Source organism: Homo sapiens, chromosome 14 (assembly GCF_000001405.40).
Source record: "Homo sapiens chromosome 14, GRCh38.p14 Primary Assembly".
NCBI classification, from domain to species: Eukaryota; Metazoa; Chordata; class Mammalia; order Primates; family Hominidae; genus Homo; species Homo sapiens.
Genome location: NC_000014.9, coordinates 95,104,947 through 95,126,055, shown reverse-complemented (window position 1 = coordinate 95,126,055; position 21,109 = coordinate 95,104,947). Strand labels below are relative to the sequence as shown.

The window sequence follows — 21,109 nt, the reverse complement described above, 5'->3', positions numbered from 1 at the left end:
CAGTAATCTGATTCATTAAAGCTCGAGAACCACTGCCCTAGAACTTTGCAACCATTTGTGAATGTTAACACTGTATTAAATGTGGGTCTTAGTTTCTCTCCTGATGATTTTTTTCTTCTCGAGCAGCAGTGCCCACATTTTTCTCAATCTTTGCATTCTTTCTTCCTTTCCTTTTCCCTTCCCTTTCCTTTCCTCTTTCCTTTTCTTTCTTTTCTTTCCTGTCTTTTTTTCCTCTCTCTCTCTCTTTCTCTCCTCTCCTCTTTCTGTACCTCCCCTCCCTCCCCCTCCCCTCCCCCTCCTCCCCTCCCTGTCTTCCTCCCCTCCCCCTCTTCCTCCCCTCCTCCTCCCTCTCCCCTCCCTCCTCCCCCTCCCTGTCCCCTCCCTCCTCCCCCCATCTCTGCCTCCTCTCCTCCTCCCCCTCCTCCCCCTCCTCCTCTCCCCTTCTCCCTCTCTTCCTCTCCCCTCCTCCTCCCCTTCCCCCACCTTTCCCCTCTCCCTCCCCCGACCTTCTCCCTCTCCCTCTCTCCCTCTCTGCCTCTCTGCCTCTCTCCCTCTCCCTCAATTCCTCAGTTACACCCTGGCCATGGATTGACTTTCGGCTCTCAATTAGAGTTGTAAGATGCAGCACTCTGGGAGGGTCCAGGATCAGAGTCTGAATTTAGCTGAGATGTTAATGTTGAGGAGCCCTGACCTTGTGGTGGTGTTTTCATTGAAATCGGATAACAGGGGCTTTTGGAGAACTGTGACAGAGTGTGTGGAGGCTGCCCCAGTGCAGCTGTCCTAGCTCCTTTTCCACTTCCAACCAATAAAGGCCTTTCCTACTGTTTAGAAAGAAAGAAAGAAAAAAGAAATGATGATAGAGACAGCTGTGCAGTGTTTTTACAACAGTCTCACCGTGGCATCCAGAGGTGCTGACTGTAGATCGACCAAAATTCATCCACAGTTTCTAGTCAGTATAGTGGAAAACATATAATGCTGGAGAATATTGTACATAAAGTTCAAGGAAAACTGTATTGCTCTTCCTTGATGCCTAAAGTTAAATTACTGTGCTACATAAATTTTATGTAATTTGGCAGGAAGTAAATGACTCAGGTATAGTTTTAACTAATTACAGATCTAAAAATAAGCTTCATTAACCTCATACAATTGCATCTTTTAATTTCTGTTTGATTATTTTATTGAAAAAAGGAGATGGTTCTAGGCATATACATACGAAATGAGCTTGAAAAGGCTAATGGCCTCTCCCCCCACCTTCAGGGACTTAACCTAAGGCTGGGTTACATTTAAGGAGCCATTTGAGAACAACTGAAATCCCAGTTAAACCCCACATGAAAATGCTACATTATTATTATTTGGCATTAGGTTTTTTCTTTTCTTTTTTTTGTAGATACTATCAGACTGTCGTGCCGTATTGGTAGTTCTGGGACCCTGGTGTGCAGATAAAGTAGCTGGAATGATGGTAAGAGAACTACAGAAATACATCAAACATGAGCAAGAGGAGCTGCACAGGAAATTTTTATTGTTTACAGACACTTTCCTAAGGAAAATACATGCACTATGTGAAGAGCACTTCTCACCTGCCTCACTTGACCTGAAATTTGTAACTCCTAAAGTAATCAAACTGCTCGAAATCTTACGCAAATATAAACCATATGAGCGACAGCAGTTTGAAAGCGTTGAGTGGTATAATAATAGAAATCAGGATAATTATGTGTCATGGAGTGATTCTGAGGATGATGATGAGGATGAAGAAATTGAAGAAAAAGAGAAGCCAGAGACAAATTTTCCTTCTCCTTTTACCAACATTTTGTGCGGAATTATTTTTGTGGAAAGAAGATACACAGCAGTTGTCTTAAACAGGTAAATCTGTAAGTTGACTCCTTTCACATGAGAACAGGGAGGCGTCCTGTGTTGTGATGTGATGCGCTGCAGCAGCTGTAAGAGCTAGCATGAGGGTTATGTAAGTGTCCTTGACTTGGCGCCATCATTGCTGATACGTCATGCTGTCCTGGGATTGACAGAGAGGATGTTTTCCAGAAGGCTGCTTTTCATATGGCTGATATTTTTTTCTTAAAGGATGCTAATCTATTCTAATCTACCTAAAATGGAGGACAAGTATGGTTTTTAAAAAAATCAGTATACATTTAAGTAAAGCATTGTTTTATATTCAATTTTAGATTCAATTCAGATATTTATTAATCCTTAACTATGTGTTAGACATTGTGTTAAGCATTTCACACCAAGTGTTCCCCTCAGGTAGTCTTAGGAGAAATTTTATCTGGGTATTGTGACTAATTTTTTAATGTTGATTTTTTTCTCTTAAAAATATGGATTCAACTTTTCAAGGCTAGGTTGGGCATGATGGGTTGTGCCTGTAATTCCAGCACTTTGGGAGCCAGAGGCAGGTAGATTGTTTGAGTTCACAAGGGGCAACACAACGAAACCCTGTCTCTAGAAAAAATACAAAAATTAGCCGGTGGTGGTGTATGCCTGTAGTCCCAGCTACTTGGGAGGCTGTGGTGGGAAGATGAGTTGAGCCTGGGAGGCAGAGGTTGCAGTGAGCTGAGATGGCACCACTGCACTCCAGCCTGGGCAGTAGAGCCAGACTTTGTCTCCAAAAATAAAGTTTTCAAGGCCACAGTGCAAAAAGTTTAGAACAATTGAATTTATTTTGGGTTGGTTCATAGACTGCATATTAAAATTTTGTGAATCAGAAGAGAATAAGAATGTTGGGGAAAGTTCTAAGACTATTAGCAAAGGTGATATTGAATCCAAATTTTAGGCCGTGGATTCCTACTCTTTCTCCCTTCAATGAAAGATTTTTTTTCTAATTTAGAACCAGCCAGGGAGCTATACTTCAGATTTCTGTCAGATGGTCACTTAATGTATGGTCCTTTTGGTTTGTAGATAGATACTCTTATTTTTTTCTGCCAAAAAAGGTCCTTATTTTGTACTTAAATCAATTTACTTTTCTATGAGATCCATTAATTGGCCACAGTTGATCCCTAACTTTTCTGCAAGTAGTGATCTCTTAGGAAAAACTAAGCTTTGCTTCCTAAGGTAATTTGGGATTTTTTTTTTTCTTTTTCTTTCTTTGTGTGTGTGTGCGCGCGCGCGCGCGTACACGCACGCGCACACGCGCTTAACTGCTTCTGAATGTTTAGGGGTTTTAAAAACTTTTTTGAGTAACGAGAAATTGGACTCGAGGGTCATCATCTGGCAGTTTTTAGTCTGGTAATTTTCATAGTCATTGAGCCTGATCCTTCTGATGAATACAAAGGAAAATAACTTTAGGGACCAAATTACATTTAAATTAGAAGTTGAAGATTGGAAGGGGACCTCACTGACTATCTAATCCAACCCACTTATTTTTGTAAAAATGAGAAAGAGCCTCAGGAGAGAGAGTGATTTGCTGTAAGTTAAATTGCTAGTCAATGGCAGAGACAATTCTAGAATCCTAATATCCTGACTCCTAGTTTCCAGTTCTTTCTATCATAGTAATGCCCCTGGGCATCACAGAACACTAAAAACCAGTGCTTTACAGCAGGAAGATTGCCAGGAGACGGACCTGGGAGAGCGTGACTAAGGAGGGATTATTTCTTAGGGCAGGGAAAAAGCATTTTGGGAGTCAAAAAAGTTTAATGCTGGCGCAGTTGTAAGCCTAGTTATGGACATACTCCCCGTCTCCATTTAGGATTATATAAGGATTAAATAAATTTTCTGGGGCTTGGAGAGAAGAAATGGGGGTGTATTTTCCGCCTTCCTCCTGTTTTCTGCATGTATTTTTAGGTAAAGATGTGCCAGTTTTTATTGCAGGAATATTAGCCTGAAAAGGTTTATCCAGAATCAGTCGGTTACTTCCTATTGACTTTAAGGATCAGATGAATTGTGATCAACTTTCATAAAATGTGACTGGAATTTAGTGCTGTATGATGAATCAAGAGTGCTCTGAGGGTTGACTTTATGAGCAGCTAATTAAATATACAATAGAGGTCTTGTTCCAGTAAGCTTTTTAATAAGCTTAGAAAAACTTCCTGAAATTCAGATTCTTTCCTTCCATCAGTTTAATGGGAGGAAAAACCCTTCTATAGTGAATAGTTTCATGGGCATATAAGCTATTGTAATATACATGCAGTTTTCTACTCTCCTAATTAAAAAAAATAAATCACAGCCACTTCTATATGTAGTGTAGGTATGTGCACAGTCTTATGTTTATGGGTTTCTTTGTACCTTATATTTACATAGGGGTTTCTAAGTTATATATATTTAAGACATATTCACAACACTCCATAGGGGAGGAAAGTAGATGTTCTTTCCATATTACAGAGGAAGAAAACAAGCATCAGTGTGTGACCTTCCCCCAAATTACACACATATCAAGTGGCAGAAAATGGCTTCCAGTCTCAAGTCCAGTGTTCTTTTCACCGTGTAATATACTAGTATTGTGTGATACTGGCATTGGACAAACCTGGGTTCACATCCTGTCTCTACCCCTCCCCCTTTTTTTCCTAATAACTTTTTATTTTGGAATAATTTGAGATTTACAGAAAAGTTGGAAAAATGGTACGGAGTTCTCATATGCCCCTCACTTAGTTTCCCCCATTGATATTATCTCATGTCAGTGTTTGTCACAACTAAGAAAACTAACATTGGCCCATTACTATTAACTCCAGACTTTATTTGGATTTTGACAGCTTTTCTACTAATGTCCTCTTTTTCAAAAAATTTATTTTTATTTTTTTCTAACCACTAGACAGTAAGGGATAATGTCTTTAATCCAAGGTGTCATATCACATTTAGTTGTCAGTATCTACCCAGTTTCCTCTGGTCTGTCACAGTTTTTCAGTTTCCGTCTTGTTTTTGATGACCTTGACAGTCTTCAGGAGTACAGGTCAGGTATTTGGTGAATGCCCCTCCATTTGGGTTTTTCTTATGTTCTTGGGGTTGTACTGGGGTGATCGGATATGGAAGAATACCATGGAGGTGACCTGCTCTTCTAGTCACATTATATCAGGGGGCTCTCATGGTATCAACCACAAAACGTCACTCGTCATGTTCATCTTCATCAATGGATTGTGATAGTGTTTGTCTGCTTTCTCTACTGTAAAGTTACACTGTTTCCCTTTTCTTACTCTATTTGGAAGGAAGTCTCCAAGTCTAGCCCACCCTGGTAGGGAGGGATTAATCTCCACTTGCTGGAGAGGGATATATCTATATGTATTTGGAATTCTTCTGTAAGGAAAACTTGTCTGGTTTATCCTTTTTATGTAACTGTCTACTTATATTTATTAATTGAATCATGTATTTCAGTTGGTGGTTTCATGTTTATTTTATACTTTGGGCCATAATCCAATACTGTGTTATTTATTTGTTGCTCAAATTGTTGCAGCGGTGGCCACTGGGAGCTCTTCGAGTTTAGCACCCGTGTCCCTTTGACATACCCTCATCCTTTTGTTTTTGAGCACTTTCTTTGTGATACCACAGGGTGCTCTGGGCTCTTGTATTTCTCCCTGCCTGGCCCTAGAATCAGCCATTTTGCCGAGGAGACTTGGTTTCTTTTCTGCCCACTTTGTGGATGTATATTTTGTGAAAGTTATTTAACTTTTAAAAGTTTCAGTATGTTCATTCGTAAAATGGAAATAATACCTCCCTCTCTTACTGGCTTGTTGGTAAGAGACTTTGTATTAAAAATGGCAGTTTTATCAACCAGCACACAGTAGATGCTAATTCTTCAGCCGCTTATGCACCCATCTAGGGAGTGCAACATCCGTATGCTATTATGTAACTGTCAGTGATCTTTTTTTAGTGAAATCATAGAGGAATTATATCTGGTTTTCTCCACATTGACAAGAAAATGTAAGGAGTAAGGGATACTGTTAAAGGAGTTGTTGATAATGTATTTCAATAACCTGGCAGGAATTTCAAATAATGTGTTTATATCTTTGAATTTCTTTTCCTCTTATGGTTGTCTGCATTAGTTAGCATGTTTATTCAGATCACAATTTTTTGTAATACATCTATTAGTTTTCTGAACCTACCATACATATTTCCTATTTTTGGTTATGTTATTTTCATTCTAATTGGGGAGAATTAGATGTACATATACACACAAAGTATAGGCTATGAATTGGTGCCAGAATTTACCTATGTCATGAGTTAAGTACAAAGATTGAGAAGAAGCATTTAGAAACTCTTAGAGCAGTTTGACAGTAATTTTATATCTGCTGAATACAATAAAATTGATGCTTGAATTTTAATACTTTTTAAATTTCATTTTCTTAGTCATTCACTTTTATGAAATTCTACAAAACTGCCTCTGATGGATTGGAAATTTAAAAAGAAAAGCTGGTTCTTCACTGCAGATCGTTTCAGAAACACTGTGCATTAGGGAACAGTATACTTTGCTGGTGAACAGCTTGCTGGTGAACAGCTTGTATAAACTGAGTGTAAAAACCAAAAGAAACAAATAATACATTGTCTTATTTTTTCTGTGGTGTTACAAACTCTTTAAGCAGTTTGCACTGTCCATTATCCTCTGGGAGTTCACATGATGTGACTGCCTGGCTTTGTTTTCCCTGAAGCCTGTAGCTTTGTCCTGGGTACTGGTTAGGCATGGCCAAGATTCACCAAGTAGATAAATACATTTTTCTCTCTAAGCATTATTAGCATAGGTATATCCCATGTAATTATTGCTTACAAGAGATTTTATTTATTGTGCCTGTTGTCTCTTCTGTTCTCTGTGGTTTTGATGTGGGTTTCATTAAGGAAAAATGAATTGACTGTTGTTGCCTCTATTTCTTAGCTAATTGAAGTCTGCCAGATGGATAATTTATAATTTTAGCAAAGTAAAATACATTCTTTGCCTAATTAACAGTAAGTTAAAACACATTCTAAATCTCTATTATATTCAAATTGATGCTTATTTATATAAAATTTGGAAGTATGTATTATTTCTAAGGTGATTTATTTTGTATTTTAGACTTTTGGACATGTTATTTGTTTGCATGTAACACTGCTTTCTGTTACATCTTAAATTTATTAAAATAATTAAACACATCTTGGAACATAATAAGGGAGCTCTGATTCTGAATATTTAAGTACGTGAACTGTAGAGCTTGAACTACAAGCTGTAGTTTGTAGACTCCCAAACTAACCTAGACACGCAAGTGTTGTGCCGGTTGGGATCAAGAGAGATTCTAGATGGCCACTTCCAGCTCTTTATTATTAGTCTGTTTCATGTATTTTTTTTTTTTTTAAAAGAATGATTCAACTTAAAAATGCAATTTTCTATTTGGAATTTATACTATGTAATATGACTTCAGAGAAACCATGTGGAATCGCTTATATCAGGTGTGGAACCATTTATCCCGTGTGCTGAGTTTTTGAATGTGGATATTTCCAAAATAGCTGTAATGGCAGCACTAACTGTTAACCTTCTGCACCCGTGTAATGTGATCCCGTCCCGTAGCTCTTTGCCATTTCTTAGCTAGAAGGCCAGCTTTCAGTTACAGGCACTGTGGGTTAATACAGAGGAGCAGGCAGGAAGAGAGACAGAGCTCAGGAATCTCCTCTTTCATGACAGGGAAGGGTGGGGTTGCCTTGCCATTTCTGTGCCCTGTACTATGCTGTGCAGAATTTTGGTCAGTGGCCTGGGGACAAGAAAGCATCAGGGATTGAGAGGATACAACATTTCTTTCCCATGGGCTCTGCTTCTAATGATATCAGGTGATAGGATAAGAGGAAAAGAAATCGCAGCTGGAACTCTTGTTACATTTGTTGGGGGTGAAGGTTTCCTTTGGTGTTGGGCTCACTGGTCCTTTCTGTATAAGCACAGTAGGGCCTGCAGCTCAAGCTGTGCATGGTCTAGAGAAGGGTGTTGAGTTGAGAGATGAGCTAGTAGAACTGGTAGAGGGATGAGTCGAGCTTTTTTCATTGGACGTCCTGTCCCGAGGCCAAGATCTATGAGGATCCGTGTTTCTCTCTGACTAGCTCAGTCTCATCCTGGGCCACATTTCTATTAAATCACCGTCGCCAAATCAGCTGTTGGAGGTAACGTGACCATTTCATTTGTCAGTACAAACCAATCTTGTATTTGGCGTTATAAGTACTTGGTCCACAGATCTATGTGGTGAAGAGTGACAGTGATTTCTGTTTAAGCAAGTTGGGAAAAAAGGACCAAGACCGTTTTGTTAGGTATGTTTGCAAAAAATGCATGTACTTCCATTTTAAAGGAGGCTTTAAAAACAAAAGTTTATTTTCTTTCAGCAACGTTTAACTTCCAAATGTGTATAATTTTCTTAGATTGATAAAGGAAGCTGGCAAACAAGATCCAGAGCTGGCTTATATCAGTAGCAATTTCATAACTGGACATGGCATTGGGAAGAATCAGCCTCGCAACAAACAGATGGAAGCAGAATTCAGAAAACAGGAAGAGGTAACTTAAATCAAAATAAGTGTACAATAACAGTTTTCGGGACATATACAGACAAAGTGCCCATAGGGTCTCCCTTTTTTCATAGTTTCCCAGAATTACTATTATTTTTTGTATTATAGAATACTTCTTCATATATTAGACCAGCTGTCCCCATGAGGTAGCTGTAGAGTGATTTGTATGCTCAGAATTAGAATAGCTATCTGGCAAACCAATTTTGTGTCTTAATTGCCATCAACCAACTTATTTTCTGTGATTGGATTGATGTTACACAACTGCATTTCATGGAAAGACAAAGCATGTATGACCTTAACTCTTGTACATTCCATATGACTATGAATTAACAAACTGAAATCTTTTCCTAGAAAGTGTTTTCTTTTTTTCATTTAAAGGCCTATTTTGTTTCAATTCTTAAAAAAAAAAACAGCACTATATTTTATAGATTTTAGCTTAAATATTTTTGTGCCTTGTAAGGTCTTAATACAGGAAACAGCATTGTAAAGATGCTAAAAACTAATACCATGGTCTGGCTTGTACACAAAAACCTATTTAAAGTTTATTATTTAACTTAAAATTAGCAGAATAATTCCTGTTGAAGGCCTTTTCTACATTGTAGCTTTTTGATAATTTCCAAATTTGGAGAGTCCAGGAGCCAGTCTGATAGATATAACTGTCTGAACACTAGCTTATGTTACCATTTAATTTATCCTGAATTGGAGAGTCTCATTAAATCAGTTTCTTTGTCCATGTTTCCATGCATGCTGAGTTTTCTGTGATACTGTCATCTTCTTTAGCCTGGCCTTAAGGATTTAGAATGCCCAAGAGCATGTGTGTCAGAAATGACAGTTGTCATTTACTTTTACTAATTTTTTTTGTTCATTTTAGAAATTTTCTTAGAAGTGCTTTTCTTGGTGGATTTTTTTTTTCAGGTACTTAGGAAATTTCGAGCACATGAGACCAACCTGCTTATTGCAACAAGTATTGTAGAAGAGGGTGTTGATATACCAAAATGCAACTTGGTGGTTCGTTTTGATTTGCCCACAGAATATCGATCCTATGTTCAATCTAAAGGAAGAGCAAGGGCACCCATCTCTAATTATATAATGTTAGCGGATACAGACAAAATAAAAAGTTTTGAAGAAGACCTTAAAACCTACAAAGCTATTGAAAAGGTAAGATCAACATATTAACATGTGCCGGCAGATTGGGAAAAAAAATTAATGTGGCTTCTTTGTTATTCTTTGTATCCATAGGAACAGATAATGAGTTTTATCTACAGGCAATAATCTCAAAAGAGGTGTACTCTGTGTACATTGTAAGGAAGTTGAGAATGATCACAAAGACCCGGCAGTGTTATACAAAGTGTTTGAAAGGGCACAATAAGATAACAGTGAAAATGATCATCACATATGTTATTTGGGATGAACGTCTGGGAAATTGCATTGCAAATATGGACAGTAACTGTTGACTGCTTAAGTTATTGAGTGATTGGAAAATGATGACATGGTAGTTACATTCAGAAAGACTAACAGTCGTGTGTGTGTGTGTGTGTGTGTGTGTGTGTGTCTGTGTAGGCACGGTACAGTATAGACTTTGTACCATATGGTAAGGGTCTCCATACGATTGGAACTGGGAGGGATTCATTGGAAGAAGGTGTCTGCAGCAGGTTACTTTGGAGTACTGAAGTATGTTTAGGAGAGAGAGAGATATTTTCAGGAGAGTTTTTTCTGTAGGTACAGAGGCAGACAGCATACAGCAGAGAGGATGTGTTTTCATCATAAGTTCTGTTTTTTAAATGTTCAGATCTTGAGAAACAAGTGTTCCAAGTCGGTTGATACTGGTGAGACTGACATTGATCCTGTCATGGATGATGATGACGTTTTCCCACCATATGTGTTGAGGCCTGACGATGGTGGTCCACGAGTCACAATCAACACGGCCATTGGACACATCAATAGGTATGGCATCATATCATTTGTGTGGAAAACCTGGGAATGTTGCACAGTTTAAGTCTAAACCTGTACATTTTGTATTGTTGACATTTTGCGGTTACCAGTCTTTACTTAGACTTGCCATATTTTCGATAAAGAAAAGTTACTTCTTTTTTCATTTTTTTTTAAATCAAAAGGCAAAAACAGTATCGTGCAGCAATAAAAGTTCAGTATTCCTTGGCAAGGCTAACATAATGAAGGCATTTTAAATTAGGTTTAATTTAATTTTATAATTCTCACCAATTTTTTTCTAAATCCTGAAATTTTTTGTTTTGTGCCATAACCATTGGGTAATGTTGAATTTTCCCCTAGCAATAAAGTAAGATTGTGATAAACTAATTTATGTTTTTGGGTACATTGTAATTTACTTTGTCCAGAGCTGATAATAAAATTTCTAAGAGCTAAGAACAGCAAATGCATTCCTGGATTATATACCAGGATAATTTCTATTCAGAGACAAAAGAGCAAGTATAAGATTTTCTTTGTAACCTTTTATTTTGAAACAATTTCAAACTTTAAAGTGTTGTAAGAATACTAGAATTCCGCATATGCCTTTCACCCAGACACCAAGAGAGACTCATTCAGTTTCATGAGAATGTTCTTTGTAGCCAAAGTATCTACCTTAGAGTCAGGAGTTGTCCTCAACTCCTGTTGTCACATCTTCCTAGTCTCCTTCAATCTGGAACCATTCTTTAGTCTCTCCTTGACTTTAATGACCTTGAAACTTTGGAAGATAGATAGGCTGTCATTTTGTAGTCTTACTGTCAGTCTGGGTTTGTCTGCTATTTTCTTATGATGAGACCCAGGTTACAAATTTTTGGGCAGCACATCACTGAGACGATGGTGTCCTCTCCTCATCCTAGCTTACCAAGTCGCACACCATGTTGATTTGTGCCCTTACCGGTGGTAACTTAGATCACTTGAGTGAAGTCTGCCAGTTTTCTCTACTGTAAAGTTCCCTTTCACCCCTTTTATAATTAGTAGATATTTCATGGGGAGATACTTTGAGACGGTATAAAATTTGTTCCTTTTCCCAGTTTGACTCATTAGTGTAAGCATTCTTTGATATTTCTGGCCCAAATTGATTATTACTATGATGGCTACTAAATGATTTTCTAACTCCATTATTTCTGTATTTATTAGTTGGCATTCTACCATCCATTTCTTCTCTCCGTTTATTCATTCTTATATTATCATTTTTTAATGTCAGTGTGAACTTATGGACTCCTGTTTTATTTAATGGGTTATAATCTATCATTATCATTTACTGTTTGTTTTGATGTTAAAATTGTTTCATATTTGGCCAGTGGGAACCCCTTAAAGCTGGTTTCTTTGTCTTTTTAACATCTCACTATTATTCCTTGAATACTTCCTTGTTTTATGGCGCAAGACATTCTAGACTGCCCCAGCCTTGATGTTGGCAATTTCCTCGAATTTAGTGGAGAAAAAGTTGTAGTTAGAAACCAAGAACTGGATACTAGGTTTATTCATTGCTACCGGTGTGTTGCTGCTGCCAGGCGTTTTAGTGGACAGAGCTAGAATGTTTGTTTGTTCATGTTTACATCTGTATTTGTTTCAGTGTCTATCTGTTGATATCTCTATTTTCAGTGTGACACTAGAGGTTTCATTCTAGATTTCCTCCTTTCTGTCTTTGTACCTCCTTTCTCTAATAATCAGAAATTTGGCTCCCATTGTCCTCAAAATAATTAGTGTTCAGTCTTCCTGTATGTAGCCAGTCTCCCTGCTCTGTAGGGCTGCAACTGTGGTCAGGTGCCCTTGCTGCACAGGTCGCAACCTCACAGGGCTGCTGCCCATTCCAGCACCCTCCTGATGTGGGTCCTGTCCCAGCATCCCTTTCTGGGCTAGCTTTCTGCCCTGTTCCAACCTTCCCTGGTGCTGTTGCTCAGTGAGTTGCTAGTTCTACTGTCCTTTTTGTGTCAGCACTGGGCTGTCCCGCCCTCTGCTGATGCCTTCCTTATATGTGTGCTGGTAGTTGGTGGGAAATGTAAGATGATTAAGGAAAAAACATTGGCAGTATGTTTTCTTACTGGATTCTGAACAATACTTTGTGCTCTATTATGGTAACACTCGACACATGTTACTATTTAAATTCAAAATTCAATTTAAAATAAAATAAAAAATGGAGTTTCGTAGTTGTACTTCTCACATTTCAAGTGCTCACCAGCCACTGCCCTGTTGGGCATCGAAGATATAGAACATCTTTGCAGAAGTTCTGTTAGACAACACTATTCTGTCTTATTCGAAGTTTGAAGCAGTAAAGTTTAAATGCCACATATAAATACAAATTCAGTAGAGGGGAAGAGGCACATGACAAATCAAACTCGAGGTTATAAATATCAATATTTTCTCAGTTGTAGATTCAGCCTCAGAATTTCTTTTTCTTCACAGATACTGTGCTAGATTACCAAGTGATCCGTTTACTCATCTAGCTCCTAAATGCAGAACCCGAGAGTTGCCTGATGGTACATTTTATTCAACTCTTTATCTGCCAATTAACTCACCTCTTCGAGCCTCCATTGTTGTAAGTTTAGAAGAAGAAATGATTGTTATCTTTTAAAATGTGTCATTAGTGGATTTTTTCAGCTTTTCTAAGACTTGCAAGTTATAGGTAAATTTGATTTTAAAATCTACTTTCATGAGCAGGAGCCTTGTGTTGACAGACCAAAAATAAAAATAAAAACCAAATTTACTTTCAAAAGTAGATTTATAGATTGCTTTTGTAGTCATCTACATGTTCATATTTGTAATAGACTGTCTAATTTACAGATACTTAGAACTGGACTAGGTGATCTCTGAAGTTTCTTCTAAGGTGTTACTAACATGCACATTTTTGACAGAATCATTCAACTGTGGCTTAGACACTTAGAGTAATATAAAACTTATTATAGATCGTTGCGTTGTCCTAGTTATTTTGTTGGTGACTCAAAAATCTGCTTTTTGTAAATACTGTTCTTGGTCTCAGTACTGATTTCCAAGTGTTCCAAGGTGACTAATTTCTATTGCACATAAAAAGCTGCTCAATACTGTTAATGTTATAGCTATGTTTTGATAAATCTTTCTTTTTGTTACATATTTATTGATTAGTAAAAATAAGATACTTTAAAATCTTACTGAAATTTAAATTCATCAAAATTGTAAAATCTTAATTATGACTTAGTTTTTACTAGGCAGGACTTTTAAAGATGAATATTTCAAATATGGAGATTAGAATTTTTAAAAACTTGCTGGAATTTTTCAAAATAAAGAATTTTGTTTTGGTAAATTGAACTTTAAAAATGTTGGGGCAGTGGTTTCATAGGTGTTTCATGTGCTAGAGGTAATACAGCGATGTGCATATATAATGGAAAGGTTTTTGTTATTTTCAGGGTCCACCAATGAGCTGTGTACGATTGGCTGAAAGAGTTGTAGCTCTCATTTGCTGTGAGAAACTGCACAAAATTGGTAAGGATGTTTGAAAAGCATATACGAATGAAAATAAATTGCAACCATTGTAAAAAAAAAGCATATAGAGGACTTTATAGATCTGTAAGGATTTTGTAGAGCTATTCACTTGCTGATCTTAATGTGCTTTGGTGAATATAAACATAAGTGTTAGTAACTTGAAGATCCTACATTGTTGTGGGAGCTCTTTGTTTTCCATAGCTTGACTGCAAACAACTGTCATTTATTTGCTCTCTTTAATGACTCCTTTTAAGTACATAAAGGTCTTTTCGTAATTGTTGAATCATGCACCATGAACACTTGTGTTTTAATATGTCAGTCTCTCAAATTAGTCTATACTAGTATAGAAATTAATCCTTTTTTAAAAAATGAACTCAGTTTCTTTTTTTTTTTTTTCTCAATCCTGCTCCTGTATAAGTGGACCCATTTTCTATGGCCATTTTATTTAGCATTGATATGTGGTGATGTCATGTTTAGATGTTTTTGTTTCTGAACCTTAGAACAGAATTTGCAGTCCAGCTCATATTGGAATATATGGATGCCAAAATAGACTTTGCCTGAAGTGTGAATCTGATTACTTTTAAATTGTAAAAGGCAAAGGTGCTTTAGTTTCCATTACTTTTCCAGGTCCTTCTAACATAGTTCTGTTCTAAATTCTTTACTAATTAATCAGGCAAAATCTGGATTGTGTTAATTCTCTCTTTAAATTTGTTAGGCGAACTGGATGACCATTTGATGCCAGTTGGGAAAGAGACTGTTAAATATGAAGAGGAGCTTGATTTGCATGATGAAGAAGAGACCAGTGTTCCAGGAAGACCAGGTTCCACGAAACGAAGGCAGTGCTACCCAAAAGCAGTTAGTATTGGTTAGAACAGAGTAAAAACCTAGCATTTCTGACTTTGTTTTCCGCTACATCAAATCTCAGTTCCTCTGCTTGGCTGGCTTCCCACACCCTTACAGTTTGGCCCACTCTGGATCTCAGCTCCTTTCTCCGATTCACAGCTTCTCTCAGATCAGCCTCTTTCCTTCCTAATGTAGAATGTGTGCTCTTCCACTTCAGAGGTTGCTTTTGTTTTTCTTCTCAAAAGGATTCTTGGACCCATCTGTCATATTCTATCCAGAATGAGATTATTTCATTTAAATAGACATTCTTTGTTTCATTCAGTTTAGTGGTGTGATTCTTGTTTTACTTATGATTTGGGGCTAAGACAGAAGAGGATTTGTGTGATAAAATAAGCAAGTGAAAAGATGCCCTCTCAAGATGACAGGTACACTGGAAGGTAGAAGCACAAATATCTGTCAGGAGTTATGTCAGATTCCCAGTGTGGGCCATTGGGAATCGAAATAAGTTATTTCCATGGAGTGTTTCCAGCTCAATCTGTGGGCATCCTAGCAGAGTTCACACATGAAAGCATCTCTAAATCTAACTTCTAGTAATAGACAAACTTGGCTGAAGTATTTATTTTTAAAATATTTGTTAATATTTTTACCTCATAAGAACCCCAAGCAAAAGCAGAATTTTGCTGTGTGTAGTAGTCCCGCTTACCCTTGGAGGGTATGTTCCAAGACCCACAGTGGAAACTGCAGATAGTACCGATCCTCCAGCAGCTCAACGTTGTTTCATTAGAACGTTGACAAGGAAAAAAAAAATCGTTCCCAGCCAGGGCCACTGTCTCTATGTGGGGTTGGCACATTCTCCTCATGTCTGCTTACTCCGGTTTCCTACTACATCCCAAAACTGTGCACATCAGGTGAACTGGCGTGTCTGCACTGCCCCACTGTGAGTGAGCATGGGGATGCATGTGCGTGTGCCCTGCCACAGAGTGGTGTCCTGTCCGGGATGGGTTCCTGCATGGGGCCCTGAGCTGCCAGGATAGACTCTGGCACCCTTGGCCCTGAACTGGAATAAGTGGGTGAATAATCATCTTCCTTGTTTTTATTCATCTTTCTTAAGTGTATCTATAGCTCACATTTATTTTAATGCTTAATATTAAAAGTGTTTTTTTTTAATTTAGAAATTTGGTGATGTTTTTGTGATCAGAAATGTGCTGGAGGAATTTAACTGATTTATGTCAATTAGCCTGTGGGAAAATTGGTTTCTTTCTACCAATTGGTTGTTTCCCTTAGCCAGTTTCTAAGAACCTGCCGAAGACATTAAGTGAGGACTTACAGCATATATTATGCTTTTTAAAATACGTTTGTACATATTTATGATAGTTTAAGATATAAATTAGGCACAGTAATAACAAAATAGAACAATTGTAACCATATACTGTAATAAAAGTTATGTGAATGTGGTCTCTCTCAAAATACTGTACTGTACACACCTGTTATTGGACCGTGACTGACCTCAGGTTACTGAAACCATGGAGGCTGCAGATAAGCGGGGACTGCTGTGCCTGTATGTTAGCCTAAATATGTGTTTCTTTGGTTTTGCTTATGCAGTTTTACCAAGTTTTTACTTTATAAAATTTTGCACCCAGCTTAGCATTTTCAAGATTCAGAATCATGTTTTTAAAAAATCATGAATGTTACCCATTTTCCCAAAATGCATGTTTTCCTCATACCAAATTTTCACGTGAGACTAGTTTCATGTGATAAAGTCGTTAATGATAAGTGTTTCTAAAAGCATAGTATTGGCTGGGTGTGGTGGTTCACACCTGTGATCCCAGCATTTTAGGAGGCTGAGGCAGGAGGATCACTTGAGGCCAGGAATCCGAGACCAGCCTGGTCAACATAGTGAGACCTTGTCTCTACAAAAAAAGAAAAGCATAGTACTGCCTGGCATCCTGTTTAATTAATAGATACATTCTTTATTTTCTGATTCTCTATTAAATATAACTGTCTCTTTTACCAGCATTTTTGTACCTTTTAACTACAGATGCAGTTCTTTTTCATTGAACCTCAGGAACTGCAAGACCATAATCTGAAGGATTGTGTTAATATTGAAAGCCTAGCAGCAATGTCCATTTAATTATGGTTCACTCACATAATGAGGTAGCCATTACAAATGATGATATTGGCTCATATTGACTCGGACAGATATTCTCTTTACAGTAACGGGATAAAAATCAGGCTATCTCACAAACACAGATACACACATACCCTAATATACACCAGTGTTGTGTGATTTTATTTGTATTGAAAAATATAAATGTATATATGTTTCTATGTATTTATGCATAGAAAAAGAGTCTAGGAATTATACAGTGTATCAAAATGTTAATAAAGGCTGTCTTTGAGTGATAGGATTATATGTGATTTTTTAAAAATTTGCCTAACTTCATTTTCTGATACTCTACAGTTAATACATAAAAAGCCCAAGGAAGAGATGAGTTTTCTTGTCAGAAGAAATAGATCAAATGAATAGTATTTTTAAAAAGGCCCTACAGTGTTGGATTGTTTTATGTATAATTTTGGTATTAGCTATGTAGTCAGCACTGCATTATAATGTATGTGAACTTGGGCCACCGTCAGCAGCCCTGTCCTGAGATCCGCTGACTTACCCAGCAGGGTTAAGTAATTAAGAAGTGTCATGCCTCGGGTATTTTCTTAGCTTATTCTCATCAGCTTTTAGTAAAGCCAGAATTAATTTGTTTTCTTGCTGACATCTGGAAAAGAGGCTAATATGCTTGAGCATGACGCTTAATTTTCCTTTCCAACTCTAGATTCCAGAGTGTTTGAGGGATAGTTATCCCAGACCTGATCAGCCCTGTTACCTGTATGTGATAGGAATGGTTTTAACTACACCTTTACCTGATGAACTCAACTTTAGAAGGCGGAAGCTCTATCCTCCTGAAGATACCACAAGATGCTTTGGAATACTGACGGCCAAACCCATACCTCAGGTAGGTATTTCATAATGAGTACTTATGTCAAAAACGTCTTGCTTAGGAAAAGGAAAAAAAAAAAAACTAGTAGTAAGTACCTTTTGTTACCTCAGTATGTTTAATATTTAAAGATCGAGGTGCCTCTTCTATTTCTCCACTAGAAAGCATCATTTCTGTTCTGAAGTTAACTGTAATGGAATAAAATACCTGTTAATTTTGAGGGGTGCTTTACATTTCCTTTTGCTAAGATTCCACACTTTCCTGTGTACACACGCTCTGGAGAGGTTACCATATCCATTGAGTTGAAGAAGTCTGGTTTCATGTTGTCTCTACAAATGCTTGAGTTGATTACAAGACTTCACCAGTATATATTCTCACATATTCTTCGGCTTGAAAAACCTGCACTAGAATTTAAACCTACAGACGCTGATTCAGCATACTGTGTTCTACCTCTTAATGTTGGTAAGAAAAAAATCTCTTACTTTGATAACTCTAGACACATATACAAACATACAGCTTTGGTATGAAACTTATCTGTATCATGTTTTAACAAGCTAAAGAGTCGTTTTTCTCTTCTAAGTTAATGACTCCAGCACTTTGGATATTGACTTTAAATTCATGGAAGATATTGAGAAGTCTGAAGCTCGCATAGGCATTCCCAGTACAAAGTATACAAAAGAAACACCCTTTGTTTTTAAATTAGAAGATTACCAAGATGCCGTTATCATTCCAAGGTAGGTATTTAAATGGAAAGGAAAATGGTGGTGATACTTTGTTTTAAAAGATGCACTAGGTCGGGCACGGTGGCTCACGCCTGCAGTCCCAGCACTTTGGGAGGCCAAGGCGGGCAGATCATGAGGTCAGGAGATTGAGACCATCCTGGCCAGCATGGTGAAACCTCGTCTCTACTAAAAATACAAAAAATTAGCCAGGCGTGGTGGTGCACGCCTGTAGTCCCAGTTACTCGGGAGGCTGAGGCAGGGCAATCACTTCAAGCTAGGAGGCGGAGATTGCAGTGAGCTGAGATCGCTCCACTGCACTCCAGCCTGGAGACACACCAAGACTCTGTCTCAAAAAAAAAAAAAAAATTCACTTATTCACATGGGAATATAAGTGGGCTGTGATTTTAGCATTGTAATTACTAATAGGAAATATATTAGTCAGTCAGGCATGGTGATGCGTGCTGTAATCACAGCTACTCAGGGCTGAGGTGGGAAGATTGCTTCAGCCCAGGATTTCTAGGCTGTGCAGTAAGCTGTGATCACACCACTACACTCCAGCCTGGGCAACAGATCGGGGAAAAGAAAGAAACTCTTAAGGTCGACCCGTTCTCTCCAGTATACTTGCTTAAAAAATAATACCTAAAACGTTATAGATAAGGAATTTTCCTTTGTAAAGGGTCAGATAATCTAATGTTGATAGGCTTTCTTCTTAAAATCTCCATCCTTTTAGTCTCCAGAGTCTTATAGAATTTGATTATAAATAATGATTTCATTTCTTAAAATTTTTATAAGGAATATTAAGCTCTGTGAAAATAGTAAATCCAGAATGATTTTTTTCCTTATTTTATAAAAATTTAGGGAATGGAGTTTTGGGGCAATACAATACAGGCAGTTTTCAAATAATTATAATACTAGTTGTAATTCAATCTTTGATTTTTTTTTTCTTTTTGCACCTCAAAACCATATTTTAAATGTTAGTTATCAGGACCATCACTATCATAGATGATGCAGTAATACGTTTTATATGACAAGTGTCTTTAATGTTTAGCATTAGTAATATACAAAGTATTTACTCTTTGGATAGTGTAAATTTTTTATACTATTTATATAGATGAAATAGATATGTAAAGGTGCCATTTAGCTTCATGTGTTATCAAAATGTAGATATTTAGAACAAGAATAATAATAAAATGGGACAATAATGTGTCCATTTTTACTTGATAAAAATACAGTTCTTACATACTTGAAATATATTTGGAATACAGATGTTTATTGTTACTTATTTTTAATCTTTTGAATTCTTAATCATCATTTCCATACTACAAACAGTTGTATTTTGAGAATAGTTGATTTAAATCAAAAAGCAACTGATTGTTTTTTTGTTTTTCTTTTTTAGATATCGCAATTTTGATCAGCCTCATCGATTTTATGTAGCTGATGTGTACACTGATCTTACCCCACTCAGTAAATTTCCTTCCCCTGAGTATGAAACTTTTGCAGAATATTATAAAACAAAGTACAACCTTGACCTAACCAATCTCAACCAGCCACTGCTGGATGTGGACCACACATCTTCAAGGTAAGGGGCTTCAGAGATGACACTTGGATTGCACTTGAGGGATTCTTACCAGACATCACTAGACATGCAGAGGTTCACTGTCCCCCTGCCCACCCGTGGACTATCTGAAATCAGGAGATGCTTTGCACACAAACTTGCCCAAGGGGTAGCCCAAGAGGCTGTAGTTGAAATGAGCTCTTCAGGTGGTTTTTGGAGAACCACTGTGAATATGTACTCATTTTTGTGTGTTTGATAAAATTGTTTTGGAATTCTTACAGACTTAATCTTTTGACACCTCGACATTTGAATCAGAAGGGGAAAGCGCTTCCTTTAAGCAGTGCTGAGAAGAGGAAAGCCAAATGGGAAAGTCTGCAGAATAAACAGGTAATGAGTTAATTGTACTAGCATAACTTAGTATTTGTTTGAGTATTAAAGATTATTAAAGATAAGTTTGAATTTTATCTTACCAAGTTAAATGCATGATTCGTTAATTTTTTAGAAGTTACCTAATCCTCAAATTTTGTTTTGTTTTGTTTTAATTAGTATTATGTGTTGAATGTTATTTGAATGTTCTTTTTGGTAAGTATTGAGAGTTTTGTTTTTATACTTGGCCCATTAATATATCACAAAATCATTCTCATAAATCCTTTGATAAATCCCATTTGGCCTTAGAGGATTATTTTTACAAATATTTTTTAAAATTAAGTTTTACTAGCATTTATGATTTTCTTTATCCATTAGTGAAATTGGTCTTTTTTTTTTTCTTTTGTGTGTGCGCTTTGTATTTATCTGTCCATTTTTCCCCTTACTTGAAGATACTGGTTCCAGAACTCTGTGCTATACATCCAATTCCAGCATCACTGTGGAGAAAAGCTGTTTGTCTCCCCAGCATACTTTATCGCCTTCACTGCCTTTTGACTGCAGAGGAGCTAAGAGCCCAGACTGCCAGCGATGCTGGCGTGGGAGTCAGATCACTTCCTGCGGATTTTAGGTATGCCTGTGCAGTCAGCCAGAAAGAACACAGATCATGAGATCCTGTTTGCAAAAGAACAGAATTAAGTTAAAATTGTATATAAAATAATTCTTAAAAGAGTAAAAAGAAAATAATGGATATC

At 37.2% G+C, this 21,109-nt stretch overlaps 1 protein-coding gene across 33 annotated transcripts in view; it reads left to right on the top strand.

Moving 5' to 3' along the window:
* The window catches only part of DICER1 (dicer 1, ribonuclease III), a 71,783-nt gene that overhangs the window by 31,955 nt on the left and 18,719 nt on the right, over nt 1–21,109 (top strand). For 27 of the 33 annotated variants that reach the window (NR_172719.1, NR_172720.1, NR_172718.1 and 24 more), the window contains 13 exons: nt 1,388–1,860; nt 8,302–8,434; nt 9,361–9,603; nt 10,235–10,389; nt 12,832–12,964; nt 13,809–13,884; nt 14,600–14,739; nt 17,553–17,732; nt 17,963–18,176; nt 18,295–18,448; nt 19,833–20,015; nt 20,273–20,378; nt 20,810–20,985. Coding sequence is in view for 27 of the 33 variants with exons in the window: in NM_001291628.2 (NP_001278557.1) it covers nt 1,388–1,860; nt 8,302–8,434; nt 9,361–9,603; nt 10,235–10,389; nt 12,832–12,964; nt 13,809–13,884; nt 14,600–14,739; nt 17,553–17,732; nt 17,963–18,176; nt 18,295–18,448; nt 19,833–20,015; nt 20,273–20,378; nt 20,810–20,985 (2,366 nt within the window). In the remaining 6 variants the exon portion in view is untranslated. Of the gene's footprint in view, nt 1–1,387; nt 7,070–7,989; nt 8,194–8,301; nt 8,435–9,360; nt 9,604–10,234; nt 10,390–12,831; nt 12,965–13,808; nt 13,885–14,599; nt 16,195–17,552; nt 17,733–17,962; nt 18,177–18,294; nt 18,449–19,832; nt 20,379–20,809; nt 20,986–21,109 lie in introns of those variants that run through there. The other 6 variants (NR_172715.1, NM_001395697.1, NR_172716.1 and 3 more) reach the window with 6 other exon arrangements.